The sequence below is a fragment of the Homo sapiens genome, chromosome 2 (genome assembly GCF_000001405.40).
Source record: "Homo sapiens chromosome 2, GRCh38.p14 Primary Assembly".
NCBI lineage: Eukaryota > Metazoa > Chordata > Mammalia > Primates > Hominidae > Homo > Homo sapiens.
Genome location: NC_000002.12, coordinates 18,662,553 through 18,687,332, shown reverse-complemented (window position 1 = coordinate 18,687,332; position 24,780 = coordinate 18,662,553). Strand labels below are relative to the sequence as shown.

Genomic DNA, 24,780 nt, shown 5'->3' with positions numbered 1-24,780 from the left:
AACCACATGATCTCCCTATCAGTGGTTTTGGCTATTAATGAACTTCCCTCACTTTGTTAACCACATTTAAGTAGTGTAAAGGCACATTTAAAACATGATTTCTGTGAAGAATGAACACCAAACAGTAATGAAAGCCAACCTGTGATGAGTGCATACTATGTGCTCCACATTATGCCGAGTACTTAATGTTTTTTCTCATTTCATTTTCTCAGCTGCCTCATGAGGCAGGCCCTAATATTATTTCCATTTACATGTGAGTAATCTGAAAGGAAAAACAGTTCAGAAATGTTTCCGAGCTCATAAATGATAAGGCCAGGACATCTGTTTCCAGACATCACTATTACTACTGCCCCCCAAATTTTTGCCAAGATTTCTGCTCATAATGGTAACTATATAAGTGTGTCAGAATATGGACAAATGTGAATTAACCCAGAAATAAAACAGTAATATTATTAGCTGATGAGATTGTGGATGCTTTCCTTTGTCTTTCATTATTATTTTTTAAATTACCCTTAATGGTGCTATTAAATTCACACACATATACACACTCACACACACATTTGTGATTCTTTGGCCACATGCTTAGAAGTGGTCTCTTTCTTACTGGCTTTTCCTGACCCAAAATTTGCTATCATAGTGCCATACACAGAACATACAGTTTGGTCAAGCATAAAACAATTTGTTTTTTGTTTTGGGGGATGTTTTTGCCCATTGCCTGTAATCCCAGCACTCTGGGAGGCCGAGGTGGGCAGATCACAAGATTAGAAGATCGAGACCATCCTGGCTAACATCGTGAAACCCCATCTCTACGAAAATATAAAAAATTAGCCAGGCCTGGTGGGGCACACCTGTAGTACCAGCTACTTGGGAGGCTGAGGCAGGGGAATCCCTTGAACCTGGGAGGCGGAGGTTGCAGTGAGCCAAGATTGCACCACAGCACTCCAGCCTGGAGACAGACGAAACTCCACCTCAAAAAAACAAAAACAAAAACAAAACAAAAAAATAGAGACTTTTTTACCCTCATTATTTCCCTTTCCTTCTTTAACTTCAGAGGTGTGTAAGACAAACTCCATTACAGATATAGATGTGACTTGTCATCTTTGGACTCACTACATAACTTCTGTGCCTAGAATAGAAATTTGAATGCAGAATCATAGTTTTGCGATTGTTTAGTAAAGGTTATTATGAAATGAGTTCACAGTGGACTGGTTACCAACTTGTCTAAATCCAGGGAAACAGAATACATCCATATGCAACAAGTTACATGAAGCAGGTTTACCACTTACAGTAGGCAGCAATGAACAACAGAAGCCCAGGAGTCATTGGGAGCAGACCCTCCAAGGCTCAGAAAGCTGCCTGGGGTGGATGAAGTCTCAACTGTGTGTGTCCCACTTGCACCACAGATAAGGAACTCTGACAGACAGCAGGCTTAAGATTATATATACCCAGGGGTTACATGACAAGTGGGCTAAAACACTGAAAACATCCTGTTTTGGGGTGAGAAGAGGGGGCTGGATCAGAGCCCAGGCTATCGGGCTCCCCTTTTATCTGATAATGTTGTATTCCCAGCACAGTCTATAGTTATTCTTGAGAAATACATGCAAAAAAAAGAGGGGGCATGGTGGGAGGAACTGGATCAGTCTAAGGCCACCCAAAGAACTGTCCTGCAGTTATATATGTCCATAGTATTTTGAAACTGGGAGGTAATGCTGTTTATTTTCACAGGAAACCAAGCTGGCACTGTATGCTCCACGGCACCCATGAAAGAGAGCATGGAACAGGGAATAGAAAGCATTGAACAAACTTGGGCTTTAGAATCATCTGTGAAATGGGGATAAGACCACAGAGGATTATTATAAATCAAACAAAATATACAAACTGTTAAGCATTGTGGCTGGCAGATGGTTCTTAGAAAATGTTATTTATTACTAGGACTACCACTACCAGTAAGGCACCCTGTGTAATACCTAGAACTTTAAACATGCTTAGCTTCCGTTCTATGCCATCCTAGTAATGACATCTCTCTCCTCACAGCCAAAGGTGTCTGGATACCTTCTATTTCATTGGTAATTGTTTTACTGTAAATAGTTCCATCATCCACAAGCGGTTTTGCCCTCCTGCTAGCCCTAGAATTTATCTCAATAGGTCTACACGATGAACCCAAGTATCCACCTAGCAAGCTGGTGGCCCTGCTTTTCAGCAAAGAAAAAGCCCTCTCCAATCAGCCCTTGTCTAGGACCCCAGCAGATTCCTACCATTATTTGTTTCCAAGCATTTAGTTGATTCACAACATGCATTAAAGAACCAAATAGATCCCTAGAGTACAAAGATAGCCATTGTCCCTGGTATGCTTCTCCCTGCATCCAGCTGCTCTTTAGGCTCCACAAGTTCCAGAATGCCAAAACATTGCTCCTGACATATCACACCTGCTTCCAGGATGTGTCTCACCCCACACCAGCCTGGCTACAGCCACGGGCCCAGTTTCATGATTCTGTACTGCCCAGATGAACTCTTGTTGCTTGACTGGCTTTTATGGATGTAGCAAAGTCCATTTGGTTTTGTTTTAATAACATCCCAATAAAAGAGCTGGGAAATTAGATGCTAGGAATGACATTTAAATCCTCCACTTCCCTTTGCTGCAATAATGGCTTTCTTGATTATAAAGGAGATAAATTTTATTAAATTATATGAAGTTTTTCCATTCGAAAGCAATTAAAAAATGCTTTCAGTTCAGAATTACAAAACTATTTGCTTCAGATTCAAGGCTGACATTTTTATTGGCAATTTGAGTTATAACATGCTCAGCTCTGTGCCCATTCATTGATCCCTGATACTTCTGCCAACTCTTTATGGCTTTATGTGAAAGTACAGTGTTTAAGCCTCCTCTAAATTCATGAGCTGCCCCTGCTTCTGAAAAAGGCTCTCTCAGTGTCTCAACAACCCACAACCAGGGCTGATGTTTATTTAAAAACATCTGTTCCATCCTTTGTGGTATAACATACCAAAGTAGCCTGACATTTTAAATACTTTCTCTTTACACTTTGTGTCAAATAGTGAGAGAATGTAACTGCTTTTGTGATGAAAAACTGTTCAGGGCAATTACAAGATGATACAGTAAGTGGACTAAATGGTACCAAAAGTAATCAAAGGAAAACACTGGGATTAGCTCCACTTTTATGGAGATTCCTAGCTCCCCAAATATCTTCATGATTATGCTTTGTGTCTTAGTGCTTCCTAATTGATAATGAGAATAGTCCTTTGTTATTTAATTTTTTAGGATAAGAAAGTGAATTATTACTGTTAAAGTTTTTGGCAAATAAGGACAAGCAAAAAAAAAAAAAAAAAAAAAAACAACACTATCTCTATGTCTCTGATTGCTAGGTCCACCTGGCAGCCAGGGGTGGCCAGGAATTCTTTTAGTGCTACGGACCACTGATTCTTTTCATCACCATCCTGACTTGCCAGTGTTATATTCAGTGTAGAAGTGGATCAACAGCATAAGGAAATGCAGCGTTTTTTTTTTTAAACTTAAAGTGGATACAAATCACTTAACTACCAGAATATTGCCTAGACTCTGATCAACCTACTTTAAGATGGCTGTTTCTAGAAAAACAGGTGCTTCTAATATTTGAAAAGAAAGTTTCTATAAATAAACTAAACACATCTTCAACAAGATACACATACAGAAATGTAAAAAACTGTTTTATGTTATAGATTGGGCAAAAGTAAACTTTAGCCTCTATTGATAACAGATTCTAAATATCTTTAATTAGCAGAAAACCATAGGACTGAAGGTACCTGAACATTCTCTTAGACAAGATATCTGAAGCAAAGGAGACATTTAAAGGAGGTGAAAGTCAAAAAGGGTTAAATTTCCTGAGGAGAAATTTGACAGCTACAATACACCCAACATAGAAGAAACCACAGGTCTGTTTCCTAAGTAGGAAGAAGAACAGTTTCTCTGTGTTATTGAAAATTGGTTTCTGCAGTCACTGAACCACAGGATATCAGTGCCAGAGGAAGTCTTAGAACATTGCAGCAGCAAGAGGCACTGTCCTGCCCTGGCCAGGCTTGAGCTCTACCCTTTTCAATTATAGGTTTCAGTAGGAACCTCCTAACACCCCCTGCCCCGCCCGCCATTCATTCCACACACCTGGGATTCTGCTATCCCAGGGGTTATCGATCATGGGTTAGCACAAAAGCTCATAACCATACTCAAATGAATTATCTAAAAGCAGCCAAAAATGCAGGGCCTTAGGATATGCAGAAAGTAGATGCAACAGGGAAATGTTATTTGTGACCTTTTAATATTGTGGTTCACTTTAGTCTATAAATCTCCTTTTCTGATCGTACCAGCCTACCTTGTGACCACATGGGCCTTTGATTGCCCTCTTTATTAGCTTAGCAAATGGAGTGATGTGTGAGTTTCTGTCACAGTGCTGACTCTGTTACAAAGTGCAAAGGGAACTCCCACCCACCATGGACCAGGAGGCACCCTAATGCCAAAATCCATCTGTTTTATGGAAAGTCAACAGAAATGTTTTATCAAAAAGCACACATATAAATCTCTACTGCTGTCACTTTGTATTGGACCCTTCCACATTATATAACATGTCAAATCATTTGCCATCTTAAAATCAGAAACAAAAGAGAGAACCCAGACTCCTCCCTTGACCCACATCCCCTCTAGCCACCACCAGATTTCTATCCTTCTCTTTATAACACCATTAAGAAGAAATAGTCATAATCCTGATCCCTTCTTCTCTCCTCCCATTTTTTCTTATTCCTCTCCAATCAGGCTGTTTCCACAATCAACCAAAACAGCTACTTTCAACTGTCACCAACAAACGCCTTGTTGATGCTTGCTTACTGGCTGCTTTTATTCTCCAGTCTCTTTGTGTTCCTCCTGTCACCTTGCAACTTTTAAATGCTAAAGCATGTGAAAGCTCAGTCTTAAGATCTCATCCCTTTTCTTTCTACTCTGTCTTGCTTGGTGCTGCCAACCAGATCCACAGACTTAAACACCATCTACATGCTGTTGACTCTCGAAGTATAATGCCAGTCCAGATGTCATAGAACACTAGTCTCCAACGGTTTTCTTAACATTCTCGTCTGAATTCTAATAGAAGTTCCAAACTTAACCTGCTCATTTCCTACAACCAGTTTCTCCTACAGCATTCCTCATCTTAGGAAATAAAAATTCCATTCTTCAAGTTGTGGCAGCTCACTCTCACCCCCGTAAAATTAGAGTCAGCCTTGACTCCTTTCCTTCTTTCATACTTCATGTCCAATCTGTCAGCAAATTACTTTGACTCTACCACTGAAGTATTTCTAAAAACAAAGCACTTTTTGCCACCCTAGTTCAAGCAACCATCATTGCACACCCAGGTTTTTTCCAACACTCCTAACCGAACTTGCTTCCACACTTGATCCCAAATGTATATTTTTCACAAAGTGATCAAAGAGATCCTGTAAAACATATATTTAAATTATATCTTTAAATTATTATACAGTCAAATTGACTCCTTTTTTGCTGTTGAGTGTCAATATCTTGATACGCCTATGATCAAAATTCTCTAATGGCTTTCTGATGTCCCTATCCTGGCCCCCAAAACCCTGTGTGAGCTAGACTCCAATTACATCTCTCCACTTCCCAACTTCCTCACCTACCTCCTTTGCTCTGCCCTGGAACACTGTGGGCTTGCTGTTTCTTAAAACCCAAATCACTCTCTCACTTTTGCCTCTACTCTGCCTGCAATGCTTACCTTGTGAATATATGCCTCACTTAACATTTCACTCCCTCCAGGTTGTCTACTCAAATGGCATCTTATCAGGAAAGTTTCATGTGACCATCCTATCTAAAAAAAGGACCCCAACTCTGTGCCTTGCACTGTACTGTACTTTCTTTCACAACATTTATCACACCCCCTGGCTCACTACTTCTATTACCTATTTATTCATTTGTATATTTATTATCCATCTTTCCTTATCAGTACGCAAATTTAATGAGGGAGAACATTCGTTGTTCACTGTTACATCCCATTGTCTACAACAGTATGATTCATGTAGTAGTACTCAAATACATATTAAATCACTGAATCAATAAATCAATGAATGTTAGGCTTCGAAAGGACCACAGAGAACATCACATTAAATTGAGTTTATCACACATCTCTTACCCCGTTCAATTTGTCACACATTCCTCTAGGCACTAGGGAAGCAATAACATACAGGTCATTTACAGGACACTCTACTTTGCAAAGTTAAAAATTAGGCATGTCTTTTAATGTACAAATTTTGGAAGACATTTGAGTAAGGATAATGGAAAATTTCTACATGCTAGAGGAAATCTTAACTACTTACAATTTCCTATGTCCATGCACACATATATAGATACACACATAGGATTCTCTCATAGGAGAAACAGAAGGTATCTGAATGGGCAAGCTGCAATCACACATGACAACAATAAGGAGTAAGGATGGGTTCCAGGAAAGTTTCTATATGCTTACTGGTTAACTCTTCAGGTGAGAAAGGAGATTTGCAGCAAAGTAAGCAAAGGTTACTGTATTAGTTCATTCTCACGCTTTTATGAAGAAATACCTGAGACTTAGTAATTTATAAAGAAAATAGGTTTAATTGACTCACAGTTCCATAAAGCTGAGGAGGCCTCAAGAAACTTGCAATCATGGTGGAAAGGGAAGCAAGCACATCCTTCTTCATATGGCAGCAGCAAGGAGAAGTGCAGAGCAAAAGGGGGAAAAGCCCCTTATACAACCATCAGATCTCATGAGAACTCACTCACTATCATGAGAACAGCATGTGGGTAACTGCCCCATGATTAAATTACCTCCCACTAGGTCCCTCCCATGACACATGAGGATTATGGGAACTACAATTCAAGATGAGATTTGGGTGGGGACACAGCCAAAGCATATCAGTTACTATACATGGTAGACAATCATTTTCTGGTGTAAGGAAATCTGTGATAAATATTTATTTTAAAGAAACCTATTTTCTTTTAAACACAATGAGTGATTCAGATTATCCTCCGAATGACACTAGATACCACTCCCTATAAAAGACTCTACATTCGTGCCAGTGCAAGCTCTAGGAAAACAGGAACAAATTGGACAATGTACGTCTTTTTGAGGGCATTAAATCTTATATAACTTCATATATGAACACATAAACACACCTAATTTCTACTATCTTTCTTTGCATTTTCACAAGAATTCTCTTCTATATTGCTGCTCTACTCCAAGTACTGATGCTGCAAAACGAGATAATATAAATCATATGTTTTCATCAGTGGCACTAATGAAACTTCCAGATAAAGAGAGGTAAAATGTGACTATGTCAAGATTTCACAAGCAAGAACACCATATTTGAGACCTATTAAAGACATTACCGTATTTTTTAAAGTCTTCACCCGAGCTTTTAAATTCCCTTAGTTTTGGCTGCATAAGTCTAGGACTCAAATTTGGATCTGAAAACTACCTGCCATCTGAATTTGAGCAACATTTTTTAGCTTCTTTTCCTTTCTTCTCATAACTGGACATTGCCCATCCCTCATAAACCACAAGCTCATTATAAGAATAAAATAAAATAACACTGGTAAAGTGGCCAGCATAGTGCTAAGTATATAGTACCTGCTGAATACACATGTGTTCTCTCTTTCTCTTTCTTATATGAAACCTGCACTGCAATTCAGTATCAACCTCATTAAGTCAGTCTCACTAAAAGTGGAATAGATGATGTGTTACTTGCTCTCTAGTGAAGAAATTAATTGTGTGTGTATGTGTATTTGAGTATTCAATCCTCTAAACTTGATTATGCATCTATACAATCATATTTAGACTTTAGTTTTGTTCTAAAATGTTATGAATTTGTTCCCTCTCACTGGATATCCTTTCAGACTGAATAGTCCCTTCAACCAGACATTGGCATACAGAAGAATGGCCAGTTTCATAATCCAAATACTTTTTTTATGATTTGAGAAAGGGACAGAGAAGAAATTTAATTTGGCCTTTAGACAAGGCCATCTACCAATCTACCAGTTCATCCAGCCAGCCTCATCCTGTACCAAGCACTCTTGTTATGAACCCCTGCTCTCAACACCTGACTTCAATCCCACCAGGGACTACACCTTCCCCATCTTAGTCCTTATCACACCAACTGGGGATCTCCACTCAACTCACTTTACCTTGCAAAGGGAAACACAGAACAGTCCATATATTTTTTCCACTGTTTATTTCCCACAATGTCCCACAGTGAGATTCCAGAAAGGGAAAACTGCTTTGTATGTGATACAGCTTCTGGCCCTAAGAAACACATATGTAAATAAACATACATTTTCATTTCCATCTATCAGTCTCATAAAGAGTATTTAAAATTTCAGGTATCCAGTTTTTCTAATCAGCAATTCATGAGACACTTTGCAAATGTAATAGTATCCTAATGTTAAAAACCATATATAATTCAAATTATTTTCATAAAATTAACTTTATTAAAAAAGGCAAATTGGAAAGAATGGGAAAGAGAATTCTATTTTTAATATTGTTAATTTTCCCTTCTCTTTATACATTTAAGCAATTAAAATTGAAACATTCAATCTCCAAGATACAGATTGATTTTTAAATAAATGACAGTTTGTTAACTCTGCAAGTCTTTGCACTAAAAAAACTGCAGAACTTTCCTGTAGAAGCTTCAGCCTTAAGGCTGAAACACAGCTGCGGATTTTGGACAAATCCAGACTCTCTTCTAACATATTTCTGGTTAACAGAAAGTAAGAACATCAAATTTTAGCTTGGCAGCTCAGGAAAATGGTGACAAACTAGAGCCATTTATCAGATGGGTTTTGTTGACGTGACAAAAACAACAAAGAGGTGTCTATTAAAAAAATAAAATGCATGAACATCTACTATGTGCTATGCACTGCTAAACAATGTAATGTCTAACTATCAATTATTTTGATCACAGAACAATGCATAAGGATGCTATCATTTGTCATCTTTAAAACATTTCAGGTTTCTGTTGTTGTTGTTGTTGTTTGTTTTTTTCCCCAAGATGGCAGATGGAGGCATTGTTAGCACGCCTCTTCTACTTGGAAAGACACAGTAGTATGTAGAGATTCACAATGTTAGCTTTTTTCCAAGAAGAACCATGGGAATTTAACAGAAAAACTAAGAAGAAACCACAGACCCTTTGAAACAAATGGCAGGCAGTACCCTTCACTGTGAACCAGATAGAAAACTGTGAGTCTTCAGAGTGTGAGAAGAGGAGAGAGCCTCTGTGACACACACTCCCACAGGGGAGCCAGGAAATCCAGGTTAGGTAGAAAGGCCTTAACCCTACCTAGCACTGGAGCTGATTTAGTGAGTAGTAGGGAGTATATAAGAAGGAACAGCATTGGGACATGCTTTGTGTGCACTCCCAGAATCCAGCAGGGATGGAGGGAAGCCATTCTTGATCCTACTAGAGGACCTCTCGGAAGTCTGTCAGCTAACTCAGGCAGCGGTCAAAGGTTGAGAGAAGCTTCCAACTGAGATTTGTGATATAGTCTTGAGTGGGGATGCGCCCTGTTGGCCAGAACTGAAGAGCAAGTGGGAAGTGGCTACAGTCATGCACACAGGAGCTGAATGCCCCTACTTCATGGGCAGACCAGGAGAGGCGTGGCCTGAAAGCCACAGTTTCTGTCTTCGTCTGGAATGCTTATGGCCTGGGATAGTTCTGAGTTCTGAGTACAGGCTGCCTGGAACCCAGCTATCTGCTGCTAGCAGAACACTATGGGTGTGAGAACTGCCTTGACAAGTGTGTAGGAGCTGAATGGGGCATACTTCCACCTACTACACACCACTCCCTATGAGGATTATTTTGTGTATCTGAGGCAGCTGCACTTCTCTCTAGAACATTACCCCAGCAGCCAGAGAACTGCCATGTTAACACCACTGGGGCTGCAGCTTGCACACATATGTGGGGAGCCAGAGTATGATTGTCTGACCCAGCTCCCACCTGGCTTTGCCCCTCCAGCAGCCCTAGCAGCATAATACAATGGACAGGGATGTTTGGGAGCTCCATGACCATCCCCTCCACCCTCACCGCATTGCCCGAGACACCAGAGTACCTCCCCTGGGTAACATAAAGCAAGCATAAATTCCACAGCTACCACTGCAGATAGTGCTCCTTTGCAGGTTCCACCTCCTTGCTGGAAGCCACCCAGCAGAGCCCATTACAGCATCGTCAGGCACAATAGCATAGCACTTAGGAAGAAAAAAAATTTTGCATGACCTCAGGTATTGCCATTGCCTGCATCACCCTGCCTAACCAGGAGGTCTTGAGTTTGTCCATGAACCTAGTTCATTACTACTACTGCTGGAATTTGAGAAAGCCAATACATTAAGGCTACTGGTAATAAGGAAAATCTCAGAATCTCAGAGTATACGTCATTCCTCACCCTCCCCCAATGAGAGGTGGTGCTTGTACCTGCTACTGGGAGACTAGAAGACAGGTCACCTCATTGAGTCCCTTGCAGACATTCCCCAGCACCAGCCTAAATATGGCAGCCCCAGTGGGCAGCGAGACCCAGAATAGCAGCAGGATCCACAGTAGTCTGGTCTCAGGGACTGCTACTCCTAGAAAAAGGGGGAATGCATCACATTAAGGGAGCACTACATGGAACTGAAGAAACCAGGCTGTAGGTCTTCAGTCTCTGAACTTTCCTCTTGTGGGATGTTTCTTTCAGCCGAAGCAAAGGTGCAATGCTGGACTCAATGGGGAAAGTCTGCAATTCTACCCCAACAGTCAGGCAGCCTCAGTGTTCATGAAGGGTCTTAGAGAAGGAAACTTCTACCCCTCACCCACCACTGCAGACAGAGTTGGGGCTTCTCCCACGGGAGTTCAGCATGGATGCATCAGTAGATAGCCTTTCTAGAACACTTCAGGGTGACTGTATTTCCACAGGAGGAGTGTCCTCCAGGTTCAAGGTCACACAATCCCTATCTATGTGGAACATCAGCATTTCTGTAGATGAAAAGAGGTGCCTGTCTGACTGAATCACTGGAACACCAATTCAGGAGTGTGACTGGTGATTGCTTTCTTGCTGGTCTGGAAGGACAGCTGTGGTGGCTCCCTCACTTCCCCCTGAAAAGAACAGTGCATTTCACTGAGAGCTTCCCCAACTGCCTCTGTCAAGGCTGAGACCTCTGCCCACTTCTGCCCATCATTGGGGTATTGCATTTACCCATCTGTTTTAGCCACAGTCAGTTTTTACCTGTGGGCAACCCCTACGGGCCTAAATTTTGAACTGTTCAACCCAGCAAGTAAGATACTGGGGAAAAAAAAAGTTTAAAATGCACTCCACTGGGGAAGAAGATAAGCTTTATTAGACCTCTGGCATTCCAGCCCCACAGGAGACAGTGAACCTGCTCACATATCCAGTACATACCTACTATAACCAACATCTGAGAAAGCCATCATACAAAGATTCTCTATAACCAAGAACTCATACAGAGTTTCTGCCAATAAAAACACTCAGAGCCAACGTTAGGTGACAACAAACTATAAACATTAAAGTCGCATTCTCAAGTAGAAAAAAAATTTTTAAACCCAGTTGAATAAAAAACAAATTCAATTATAATTAGAAGAAATAGTCTACCCAAATGAGAAGAAACCAGAAAAATAATTCTGGCAATATGAAGAAAATAAAGATCTATTACACCCCCAAAAGATCACACTAGCTTTCCAGCAGTGGACCCAAGCCAAGATGAAAACTTTGAAACACTAGATAAATAATTCAAAAGGCTGATTATTACATTATTCAAGGAGATATAAGACAAAGGTGAAAAACAACATAAAAAACTTTGTTAAAAATTTGGGATATGAATGAAAAATTTTCTAAACAGATGACATTTAAAAAAACTCAATCAAAATTTCTGGAAATCAAAGACACATTTACAGAAATAAAAAAAATGTGGGAGGCCGAGATGGGTGGATCACAAGGTCAGGAGATCGAGACCATCCTGGATAACACAGTGAAACCCCATCTCTACTAAAAATACAAAAAAATTAGCCGGGCGTGGTGGCAGGCGCCTGTAGTCCCAGCTACTCAGGAGGCTGAGGCAGGAGAATGGCATGAACCCAGGAGGCGGAGCTTGCAGTGAGCTGAGATCATGCCACTGCACTCCAGCCTGGGCAACAGAGAGAGACACCATCTCAAAAAAAAAAAAAATGCAGTGGAAAATTTAAACAATGGACTAAACCAAGTAGAAGAAAGAATTTCAGAACTCAAAGGCAAGGCTTTTGAATTAACTCAATCAGGCAAAAATAATGAAAAAATAACTAAAATAAATTAACAAAGGTATCCAAGTAATATGGGATCATGTTAAACTGCCAAACCTAAGAATTATAGTCGTTCCTGAGAGAGAAGAAAAACCAAAATGTTTGGACAACCTATTTAAGTGAATAATTGAGGAAAACTTCCCTGGTCTTGATAGAGATTCAGACATCAAAACACAAGAAGCTCAAATAACTTGTGGGAGACTCATTGCAAAAAGGACATCACCAAGGCATATAGTCATCAGGCTATCTAAAATCAATCTGGAGGGAAGAACTCTAAGAGCAATGGGATAAAAGCATCAGATAACCTGCAAAAGAAAAACCTAACAGCAGACTAACAGCAGATTTCTCAGCAGAAACCTTCCAAGCCATAAGGGATTTGGATCACATCTTTAGTCTCCTTAAACAGAATCACTGTCAGTCAAGAATTTTGTCTCCAGAAAAACTAAGTTTCATAAATTAAGGAGAAAAATGTCTCTCCCAGATTAGCAAATACTGAAGGAATTTGTCAATACTTGACCAGTCCTACAAGAAATGTTAAAAGGACTTCTAAATCTTGAAACAAAAGGTTGACATACACCAGAAGAGAAATTCCTGAAAGCATAAAATTCAGAGGGCTTATAAAACAATAACACAATGATGAAAACAAAGTCACTAGGTAACAATTGACATAATGACTGGAACAGTATCTCACATCTCAATATTAACATTGAATGTTAAATGCTCCACTTAAAAGATACAGATTGGCAGAATGGATTTAAAAAACCACAAATCAAATATCTACTGTCTTCAGGAGACACACTTGATACATAAGGATTCTTATAGACTTCAGGTAAAGGGGTAGAAAAAGATATTTCACAGAAATGGAAACCAAAAGCGAGCAATAATAGCTACTTTTATATCAGATAAAACACATTTTAAAGCATCAACAGTAAAACAAAACAAAGAAGATCATTTTATAATGATAAAAAGATCAATTTAACAAGAAGTTATAGCAATCCTAAATATATATGCACCTAACTCCAGAGCTCCCAGATTTATAAAGCAATTACCACCAGACCTAGGAAAAGAAATAGGCAGTAACACAAAAATAGTGGGAGACACCAGCACTCTACTGACAATATTAGACAGATCATTGAGGCAGAAAGACAACAAACATTGGACTTATACTGCACTCTGGAACAAATAAATTTTAAAAAATCAAAATCATATCACATATCTTCTCAGACCACAGTGGAATAAAACTAGAAATAAATTTGAAAAGGAACCCTGAAAACTGTACAAATACATGGAAATTGAATGATATGCTTCTGAATGATTTCTTGGTTAACAATGAAATTAATAACATGAATGATAACAGTGATGAAAGTTATAAAAACCTCTGGGATACAGCAAAAGCACTGCTAAAAGGAAAGTTTATAGCACTAAATGACTACATTAAAAAAGTCTGAAAGATTACAAATTGACAACCTAACTTCACACCTCAAGGAATTAGAGGAATAAGAGCAAACCAAACCCAAAGGTAGCGAAAGAAAAGAAATAACGAAGATCAGAGCAGAACCAAAGAAAATTGAAATCAAAAAACCAAACAAAACAAAAAATCAATGAAATAAAAAGGTGGTTATCTGAAAAGATAAACAAAACTATCTATGTTCACCAGGAAATGAAGACAGAAGATTCAAATAAGCCCAATTAAAAATTAAAATGGAGACATTATAACTGATGCCACAGAAATACAAAAGAGGATTTGAGACTACTATAAATACCACAGCTCTCTGCACGCTAACTAGAAAATCCAGAGGAAATGGATAACCCTTGGAAACATACATCCCCCTTAACTTGAATCAGAAATAAACAGAAACACTTAACAGACCATAACAAGCAGTGAGATTGACTCAGGAATTTTTTAAAAATTTTAAAAATCTGACAAAAAAAGCCCAGAGCCAGACGGATTCACAAATTCTTCCAGACAAAGAAGAATTGGTACTAATTCTACTAAAACTATTCCAAAAGATGTAGGAGGGAATCCTTCCTAACTCATTCTATGAAGGCAGTATCACCATGATACAAAAGCCAGAAAAGAACATAACAAAAAAAGAAAATTACACACCAGTATCTCTTATGAATATATACACAAAATTTCTCAACAAAATAATAGCAAACTGAATTCAATGCACATCAAAAAAATTGACCATTATAAAGTGGGTTTTATTCCATGGATGATTCAACATATGCAGGTCAATAAATGTGATTCATCACATAAAAAGAATTTTTTTATTATACTTTACGTTTTAGGGTACATGTGCACAACGTGCAGGTTAGTTACATATGTATACATGTGCCATGTTGGTGTGCTGCACCCACCAACTCGTCATTTAACATTAGGTATATCTCCTAAAGCCATCCCTCCCCACTCCCCCCACCCCACAACAGGCCCCGGTGTGTGATGTTCCCCTTCCTGTGTCCATGTGTTCTCATTGTTCAGTTCCCACCTATCAGTGAGAACATGCGGTGTTTGGTTTTTTGTCCTTGCGATAGTTTTGGGTATATACCCAAAGGATTATAAATCATGCTGCTACAAAGACACATGCACACATATGTTTATTGCGGCACCATTCACAATAGCAAAGACTTGGAACCAAGCCAAATGTCCAACAATGATAGACTGGATTAAGAAAATTTGGCACATATACACCATGGAATATTATGCAGCCATAAAAATGATGAGTTCATGTCCTTTGTAGGGACATGGATGAAGCTGGAAACCATCATTCTCAGCAAACATAAAAAGAATTTAAAACAAAAAACATATGATCATCTCAATAGACAAAGAAAAGTCTTTGATAAAATCTGGCATTCCTCTATGATACAAACTCTCAACAAACTGGGCATAGAAGAAACATACCTAAAAATAGTAAAAGCCATACATGACAAACCCACAGCCAACATCATGCTGAATGGAGAAAAGTTGAAAGCATTCTCCCTGAGAACTGGAAGAAGACAAGGATCCCCACTTTCACCACTTCTTTTCAACATAGTACTGGAAGTCCTAGCCAGAACAATCAGGCAAGAAAAACAAAATAAATGGCATCCAAATTGGAAAAGAAAAAGTCAAACTATTGCTGTCTGCCAACGATAAAATCTTATACCTAGAAAACCCTCAAGACTCCTCCAAAAGAGTCCTAGATCTGATTAATGAATTCAGCAAAGCCTCAGATAACAAAACCAATGTACACAAGTCAGTAGCACTGCTATACACCAACAATGCCCAAGCTAAGCATCAAATTAAAAAGTATATACTAGGAATATACTTATCCAAAGAAATCAAAGCTCTCTACAAAAAAAAAACTATAAAACACTGCTGAGAGAAGTCATAAATGACACAAACAAATGGAAATACATTCCATGTTTATGAGTTGGAAGAATCAATTTCATAAGAATGACTATACTGCCCAGAGCAATCTACAGATTCAATGCAATTCCTATGAAAATACCAACATCATTTTTTATACTGCCCAAAGCAATTTACAGATTCAATGCAATTCCTATGAAAATACCAACATCATTAACAATTAAGATTGTTATTTCTAATTTCTAAAAAGAAAAAATAATATTTTTTGGTTTATAGGGAACCAAAAAAGAGCCCAAATAGCCAAAGCAATACTAAGCCAAAAGAATAAATCTGGAGGCATCATATTACCCAACTTCAAATTATACTACAAGGCTATAAATACCCAAACAGCACGGTACTGGTATAAAAGTAGACACATAGATCAATGGAACAGAATAGAGAATCTAGAAATAAATCCAAACATTTACAACCAATTGAGATTTGACAAAGCATACAAAAACATCAATTGGAGAAAGGACATCCTATTCAATTAATGGTTCTGGGAAGTTTGGATAGCTACATGTAGAAGAATGAAACTGCATCTCTATCTCTCACCATACACAAAAGTTAACTCAAGATGGATTCAAATATAAGACCTTAAACCACATAAATTCTGGAATGAAACCTAAGTAAAACTTCTGGACATTGGCCTAAGCAGAGAATTTATGACTAAGATCCCAAAAGCAAATGCTAACAAAAACAAAAATAAATAAGTGAGACCTTATTAAGCTAAAAAGCTGCACAGTGAAAGAAATAATCTTTTGAATAAACAGACAACCTGGGCCAGGCATGGTGGCTCACGCCTGTAATCACAGCACTTTGGGAGGCTGAGGCAGGTGGATCATGAGGTCAGGAGATGGAGATCATCCTGGCTAACACGGTGAAACTCCATCTCTACTAAAAATACAAAAAATTAGCTGAGCTGGTGGCACACACCTGTAGTCCCAGCTACTGAAGAGGCTGAGGCAAGACAATCGCTTGAACCCAGGAGGCGGAGGTTGCAGTGAGCCGAGATCACGCCACTGCACTCCAGCCTGGGTGATCCAGACAGAACGAGACACTGACTCAAAAACAAACAAACAAACAAACAAACAAACAAACAGACAACCTACAGAATGGGAGAAAATACTTGGAAATTATGCTACTGACAAAGGACTAATATCCAGAATCTACAAGGAACTCAAGCACGTCAGCAAGAAAACAACAAATAATCCCATTAAAAAGTGAGCAAAAGACGTGAATAGATATACAATGGCCAATAAAGATTTTTAAAAATGCTCAACATCACTAATCATCAAGGAAATGCAAATTAAAACAACAATGATATATCACCTTACCCCAGCCAGAATGACCATTATTAAAAAGTCAAAAACAATAGATGTTGGTGTGGATGTGGTGAAAAAGGAATGTTTATACACTGCTGGTGAGAATGTAAATTAGCACAACTCCTATGGAAAACAGTATGGAAATTTCTCAAAAAAACAAAAAGCAAATCTAACATTTCATCCAGCAATCACACTACTGGGTAGTTACCCCAAAGAAAAGAAGTCACTAAATAAAAAAGACAGCTACACGCATATGTTTATCACAGCATAATTCACAATTGCAAAGATATAGGATCAACCGAAATGCTCATTAACCGATGAGTGGATAAAGAAAATGTAGTATTCCATACCATGGAATACTACCTAGCCATAAAAATGTAGTATTCCATACCAATTCCATACCATGGAATACTACCTAGCCTTAAAAAGAATGAAATAATGTATCTTGCAGCAACTTGAATGGAACTGGAGACCGTTATTCTAAGAGAAGTAATTCAAAAATCAAAAACCAAATACTGCACGTTCTCCCTCATAAGTGGGCACTAAGCTATGGGTACATAAAGGCATACAGAGTGGTATAATGCACACTGGAGACTCAGAAGGGAGGAGGGTGGATGGGGAGTAAGGGAGGAAAAACGACCTGTTCGGTATAGTGTACACTATTTGGATGATGTGTACACTAAAACCTTAGACTTTGCCACTATACAATTCATCCAAGTAACAAAAAACCACTTGTAAAGCTATTGAAATAAAAACATTTTTAAAAAACCACTTCTGAGTTTACAAAGGACTTTCACAACCTACTAGTTCATTTCAAAGACTCTGTAGTACCTATTATGAAATACTTCTTGATTATGTTGATTCAAAAGACAAAAGATACTCCCAGATGTGCCTTATGCCGAGGTTCCCAATGGTCCTTTTAAAGCTCTGAAGTGTCTTAGGAGGAAGATAACATGCAATGTGTAAAAACATGATCAGAACAAAACAGTTGTTCTTTATAATAGTTGTATCTGAAAATGACAAGAAAGAGTTGAGTGAAAGCCAGTAAAACCAAATCACTGATCCAGGTACAAGAGGCATTTCAACCACACTTTCCGATTAAGTGAGCAATATTTTTTCCTCTATTTTTTCCTCAGGCTTAAATCAATAGGTATATAAGCTTCCAGGCTATTAAAAATATCAATTGGATTCATAAGGTTGTCCAAGAGAATCTGACCTCAGCACATTGAGAAGAAAATTAGCTCAAATGGACACCATATTTGGATTCTACCCTCAAAGAGGCACATGTTACACTCAGTGGGAATCGTGTGGGTGTTAGTGAGGGGAGAATTGTCCTGGAATAGTTATAAATACTTTCACAAATGAGAAAACTATTTCATTAAATGTTTGATTTCTACTAACAACTACAGCAGCCAGAATATTCCTCACTATACTTTATTTTTATTTTGTTAAATGGATAGGTGTCAAATAGAATATCTTTTATAATTTACTGAAAGTGTTTTTATTTTCTTAGTTGGTTCAACTAGCAGTAAATATCATTTAAAAAATAAGCAGTGAATAAGTTAGACTGATTATTGACAAGAAAAAATTACCTTTCCTATATTTTATTTTTGCGCATAAAGATTCGACTATTAACCAGATAGTTAAGTGATTTATTTACTTTGGTAACAAGCCAGGCAGAAATATTTAAATTCTACTCTTGGAAGTAAGAATTATCTAATCATTCACAAGCTCTTATAATAAAACATTTATCATGGGCCATTAATCCTTTAGGACTTATTTTCCATCCCATCGTTTCACTGGCACCTTGCTTTGAACATAGTCAAGTTTGGCTGCAATTTTTCCTTTTATCATATATCATAGTTACAGGATGAGATGCACCAAAGCTGGATTCCAAAAACCCTGCACTTTGCTTGAACTTTGCACATAGAAAATCAACTAGTGATTCCAGGGCTGAGACTCATTCAGGCTTGAGGCCTGAGATCGCACTTGGATCATGGAGTACCAAAAGTTTAGGGTTAGATGACAGGAAAAAAATATCTAGTTGCAACATTACCTCACAGAGGTTTAAAAGTAGGTTTTAAATTCACAGGATACTTGTATTAGTCAGTTCTCACACTGCTAATAAAGACATACCTGAGACTGGGTAATTTACAAAAAAAAGAAAAAAGAGGTTTGATGGACTCATGGTTCCACATGGCTGGGGAAGCCTCACAATCATGGCAGAAGGCAAACGAGGAGAAAGGCACCTCTTACATGGTGGCAGGCAAAAGAGATTGTGCAGGAGAACTCCCATTTATAAAACCATCAGATTTCATGAGACTTATTCACTACCACAAGAACAGTATAGGGGAAACTGCCCCCATGATTCAATTCAATCCACCTGGCCCCGCCCTTGACATGTGGGGATTATTACAATTCAAGGTGAGATTTGGGTGGGGACATAGCCAAACCATATCAGTACTATTCTGGTAGTCTTATGTACAGGGCTAAGTGAGGTGACCCTGGATACATTCCTCTTATCCACAACTCCCACCCCAGCCTGTTCACCTCTACTTTGCACTGTGAAGGCCTAGTAGCCCTTTCTTGAAATACCTAACTCACTGCAAGTAAAGTTCCTTGAATGTTTCTTGGGCCTAAATAATACCAACACATACCTGCAGTTTCCTATTTGATAGCAAACTACCTTTGCTCAAAAATTACTTAGACTGAAACAATACAACAAATATAAAAACAGATCTGCATCAAATAAAGCTTTTAATTGCTCAAAATAATAGTCAATTTTGCACTAAAAGAGGTAAGGAGGAAGGAAAAGATGATTGCACTAAAAGTAAGGAGTTGTGTTTTTAAATCAAATCTTGTGTCATTTAATAAAATTATACTACTCTGTCTCACAGTAATGTCACAAAACTTAAGCTAGTGTTCAATGAAACATTTTGTAAACTACAAAGTAGCAGGCATATATGCTATTATTTTAATAATTTATGGCAATAATCTTAAAGTTACAATTTATTGGGTACCACACCCAGATCTACACAAGCAACTGGAGAAACAATCTAATCGTAGAGCATATAGGCCAAATATAACCCCCCAAAATGCAAACTATAACAATTTTACAGATGAGAAAACAGGTTCACAAGAGATCAAGTGATTTGACCAAAGCCACAGAAGCACCAAATGGCAAGAGATGAAATTTAAGCTGCAATCTGCTTGCAAAAGAATCATTCATTCTTGTGTCTACACTAATGTGGTGCACTGCTTCCAAAGTTCAATTTCTCAAAGAGGCTAATGGGCCTGTCTCTATGGATATGCTAGCCAAGTACTGTAACAGAAAAGAAATCAAGTAGAGTGAGCTATTGCAGAAGCACAGAAGAAAATAAAACAAAACAAACAAACAAATACATACATACATAGTTGACACTTGAACAAAATGGATTTCAACCATTCAGGTCCACTCTAAGTGGATTTTTTTCAATAAAAGTTACACAGAGTGTTCTTGCCTCTCCTGACTCCCCTTCCACCTCCTCCACCTCTTCTTTTGCCACCCTTGAGACAAGAAGACGAACCCCTCCTCTTCCTTCTCCTTCTCAGTTACTCAACATGATGACAGCAAGAATGAAAACCTCCATAATGATCCACTTCCACTTAATGAATAGTAAGTATATTTGCTCTTCCTTATAATTATCTTCATAAGATTTTCTTTCCTCTAGCTCACTTTATTGTAAGAATATAGTATATAATATATGTAACATACAATATTCATGTTAATCAACTGTTTATATTATTAATAAGTCTTCCAGTCAAAAGTAGGGTGTTATTAACTAATATTTTAAGGAGTCAAAAGTTAACGTGTGGAGTGTTGACAACTTGGTAGAGAGGGGTCAGTGTTCCTAACCCTGAACCCTGGAGTTATTCAGGGATCAAGTGTGTATATCCACGTGGATTTTCCTTATGGAGGATAAACATTTGAGGAAATGTCATATATGAGAATTAGAATAAGCTAGAGATGCCATTAATAACACCATATTTCTTTTATTTTTTTCAATTTAGAAGACACAGTTGGATCTTTTTGTTTTCTTTCTAAAAATTATTATTATTTTGTAATTGACAAATTATAATTGCATATATTTATAGGGTACAATGTGATGTTATCATAAATGTATACAGCATTGTGTACTTCAAAATAGTTTGTTGTTTTTAAAACTGAACACAACTTACAACTGATTGTCAAAAGCAACTTGTTAGTAATTACTCAGAGTGATGATTGTGAGAGAGTTTTCATTGCTTGCTCATCTGTGAATACAGCTCAACTACAAGGTATCTGTTTATCATAAGTCATCTCTAGGTAGTCATTTTCACCGATACCATCACACACAATCAGATTTAAGCTTACATTTGTAACACCAATTGTTGCTTAAAATATTTGAAGATTAGGCCCGGCATGGTGGCTCAAGCCTGTAATCCCAGGACTTCGGGAGGCAGAGGTGGGTGGATCACGAGGTCAGTATATCAAAGCCATCATGGCTAACATGGTGAAACCCCGTCTCTACTAAAAATACAAAAAAAAATTAGCCGGGCGTGGTGGCAGGTGCCTGTAGTCCCAGCTACTCGGCAGGATAATGGCGTGAACGCGGGAGGCGGAGCTTGCAGTGAGCCAAGATCGTGCCACTGTACTCCTGGGCAACAGAGCGAGACTCCGTCTCAAAAAAAAAATTGATAATTATACTATAAAGCAACACTGAAAGAAAAGTATTTTTTGTTTGCTTAAAATGTAAGTAGATTGCTTGTCACATGTCAGACAATTCAACGAATGTCAGTAAAATTCTATAGTTTTCAAAATCAGCAAAGCTTTTTCATGCTAGAAAGACAGTGGGGACAGAGCAGTAGTTTGGGCCCAAGACAGGATGACAGACAGGTAAACAAACTAACTCCCAATCTCTTCTACACCCTCCCAGACACAAAGTACTGTCTTTCAAGCATCAGAAATTTGTCAGAAATGTTCTGGCTTCTCTCAAAAGAGACTACTAGACTTCCTGTGGGAGGTAATTCAATTGATGCAAAGAAAAAGGTAACTTGGTCTCCTATGACAAACCTCAAATTTTACTGTCAGTAGTAAAGGTGCTGTGTTAAGATAACAAGCAGGAGTTAAGAAAGGAGAATGTCACCTGGTATTCTCTATAATCCCTAGCGGCCAAATTGATTCAGAGAAAGTTTGGACTGCATACTTGCGGATTCACCTCAAATGTTGATGTTGAGCCTAAAGAGGAAATTAATAGTTATTATATGGATTCGAGTATATTAATGGTTAAACATATAATAAAAATGGCATATTTAAGCTATACCCCCCCATGTTATCATTAAATCTGGTGGTCAAGTTATCATTGTTGATGTCTTAGATTTGATGATGTATGATTAAAACTATAAAAGTGAATCATTATTGAGCACTTACCGGGCATTGTATTAAGCTTTTTAATTTGTATTATCTCCTTTAAATCTCACAAAACTATATGACAGGTATATTATTTTCATTTTGCAGGCAACAGAACTGAGATTCAGACACAGATAAAATCCATTTTTACCACTCTGCTGTTAAATGATTAAGCCAAAATGTTAGCCCAGGCCTCCCTGATGACGAGGTCCTTTCTCAATGACCACACTGCATGAATGAACCTGTTACTGCAAGACCACATCTGTCATCTGTCTAAAGAAGTTCCAAAAGTAAGAAAACATCTGCCCTTCTCAAGGTCATAAATGATCCTTTAAACACTGGAAAGGCTGAACTTTGGTGAGCTCTTCATTTCTAAGTACTCTTTCATTTCTAAGTACTATTTGCTGCACCTTTGATTAAACTCCTCTCTACAGACCGTGTGTTAAAAGTACATATGAGGCCTTCCTGTATATTTTTTCAGACACTCTAAGAGAGAATCTTGCTAAATGAAATGTGATATGCCCAAAGAAGCATCTCATGCCTTTTGACAGGGGCTTTTTAGGCACACGGTTTATGTCACTTTTGTTATCTATAACTCTTCTCTCCCAGAAGTTCTGATAATATAAAGTAGACAATAAAACAAAGTAGAACTATTTTTCAACTACCTCTCATCAGCAGCAGGTCATCCAATTCTAACCTGGCTAGACTGTACCATCTCACACTTCAATCTCAGCTTATCTGTAAAGTAGGGAGAGCCACACTTTCATCCCTTCAATTACTTTAATAAATTGGTCATTTAATAATATCAAAACCAGACATGTTCAAATGTCTGCATTCCCTGACACATTACAGATGTTTGTACTTCTGATTTCTGAGGGAAAGTGGCAATACAAAAAGCATCGGATTCCAATTTCTTTCTCCCTAGAGTAAGCTGCCTCTGCACATTACACACGTGTCATGCACTTCTACACTCGCACCACATATGCATTCACACATACACACATACATACACCACATCCTCTCTGTGCCACCCTTCCCCTAGCTGATGGAGAGATGAGGTTGACTGGAGTGGCAGCCCTTGTCTTTGCTATCTCAGGTTCTCTTGCCTGATTTCTTCAACAGGGAGCAAATTTTTCAAATAATGCATTGTATGAATTAATCTACAATGCCTAATTCCCAGGTCACCTAGCTAAAGATCTTACATGTCAGCAGACATTGTAGGCATTCCATTCATTCAGCAAATATTTTTTGAAGCATTCCTGGGTCCAAAACCCAGTGTAACTATCAACTACAAAAAGGATGCAAAAAAAAAAAAAAAAAACATGCTATTTCCACTGAGCACAATAGGAGTCTGCTTACTCCTGACAGCTTCACTTTTTCTAACCCACAGAGACAGAGGAGAAAAGCCAGGGGGAAGGCTGAGTGCAGCAATTTTATTCTTTTTAAGCTTATTATTTCCCAAACAAATACTTACTTTTATAAGCAATCTTCTTTTATATAAACACACAAAAAAAGTAGCTGTTAAATTTGCACTGTAAATGCCAGTGCAAACAACTGACTGTGGATTTCTTATCATTCTGAAAACTTTCATATATTTTGGGAGGGTCCAATACATAGCTTACAGATCCAAACTTTTTAAGACCAAGAGTTTGTATTATACTTATCAATTATTGATATGTAAGACACAGTAATATGTTTTTATGAGTTTGCATCATTCTCATTGTTGTGTGTATGTTAAGTCAATTCACCCAGTACTTTGAATTCTGTCTGGCTTTACATGGTTGGGAGGAATTATTAATGCGGAAATATCAGTCATATTTTGATTTTAGTAATTAAATTGTTATATTCAGAGGAAACCAGGGTTTGGCTTTTTCAATGCTGAGGTGACCCCAGGTTTAACGAGAGTTCATACCTGCATGTGTATTGGCAGCACACGAGGAACAGGAAATGACACAGGGTATTCTCCCAGTCTCCCAGGATGAGAATCTGGGAGTTGGCAGCATGGACTGCTCTCTTCCACAGGGAGATGTTTAAGAGCCCTGTAGGATCATCCAAAGACGCCTCTGAATCCACGTGTCCAAACTCTTTAGAACCCCATGGAGAAAGCCCAGCTTCCATTCACCCTCTCAGAGGCAACCAGGAAAGAGAATGGTACATTTCAGTCTCTCTTCTATAGAGGATATCACAGTATCAAAAAAAAGAAAAAAAGAAAGGAAAGAAGGAACGAAGGAAGGAAGGGAGGAAGGAAGGAAGGAACCTGTAACATGAAGTCATAAATAAAGCAAAAACTGAAGCCTGAA

The 24,780-nt window shown here is 38.2% G+C and overlaps 1 long non-coding RNA gene across 10 annotated transcripts in view, besides 1 other annotated feature; it reads right to left on the bottom strand.

The window, feature by feature from the left end:
* LOC105373456 (uncharacterized) overlaps positions 1-24,780 on the bottom strand; it is a 529,181-nt gene that overhangs the window by 402,024 nt on the left and 102,377 nt on the right. Inside the window, exons 4-6 of one of the 10 annotated variants that reach the window (XR_007086231.1) lie at positions 22,218-22,309; positions 8,207-8,324; positions 140-262 (exon numbers count right to left, since the gene is read on the bottom strand). The exons of the other annotated variants lie outside the window; for them this stretch is intronic. This is a non-coding gene — a long non-coding RNA (uncharacterized LOC105373456). The remainder of the gene's footprint in view (positions 1-139; positions 263-8,206; positions 8,325-22,217; positions 22,310-24,780) is intronic. 10 annotated transcript variants of the gene reach the window in all.
* Positions 21,406-22,605: an enhancer, noted in NCBI's record as "CDK7 strongly-dependent group 2 enhancer chr2:18845994-18847193 (GRCh37/hg19 assembly coordinates)". NCBI's record gives its function as "activates an origin of replication core promoter dependent on BRD2, BRD4, P300/CBP, MED14 and CDK7 cofactors, with strong dependence on CDK7, by STARR-seq in HCT116 cells {active_cell/tissue: HCT116}" and the evidence as "EXISTENCE:reporter gene assay evidence [ECO:0000049][PMID:35650434]".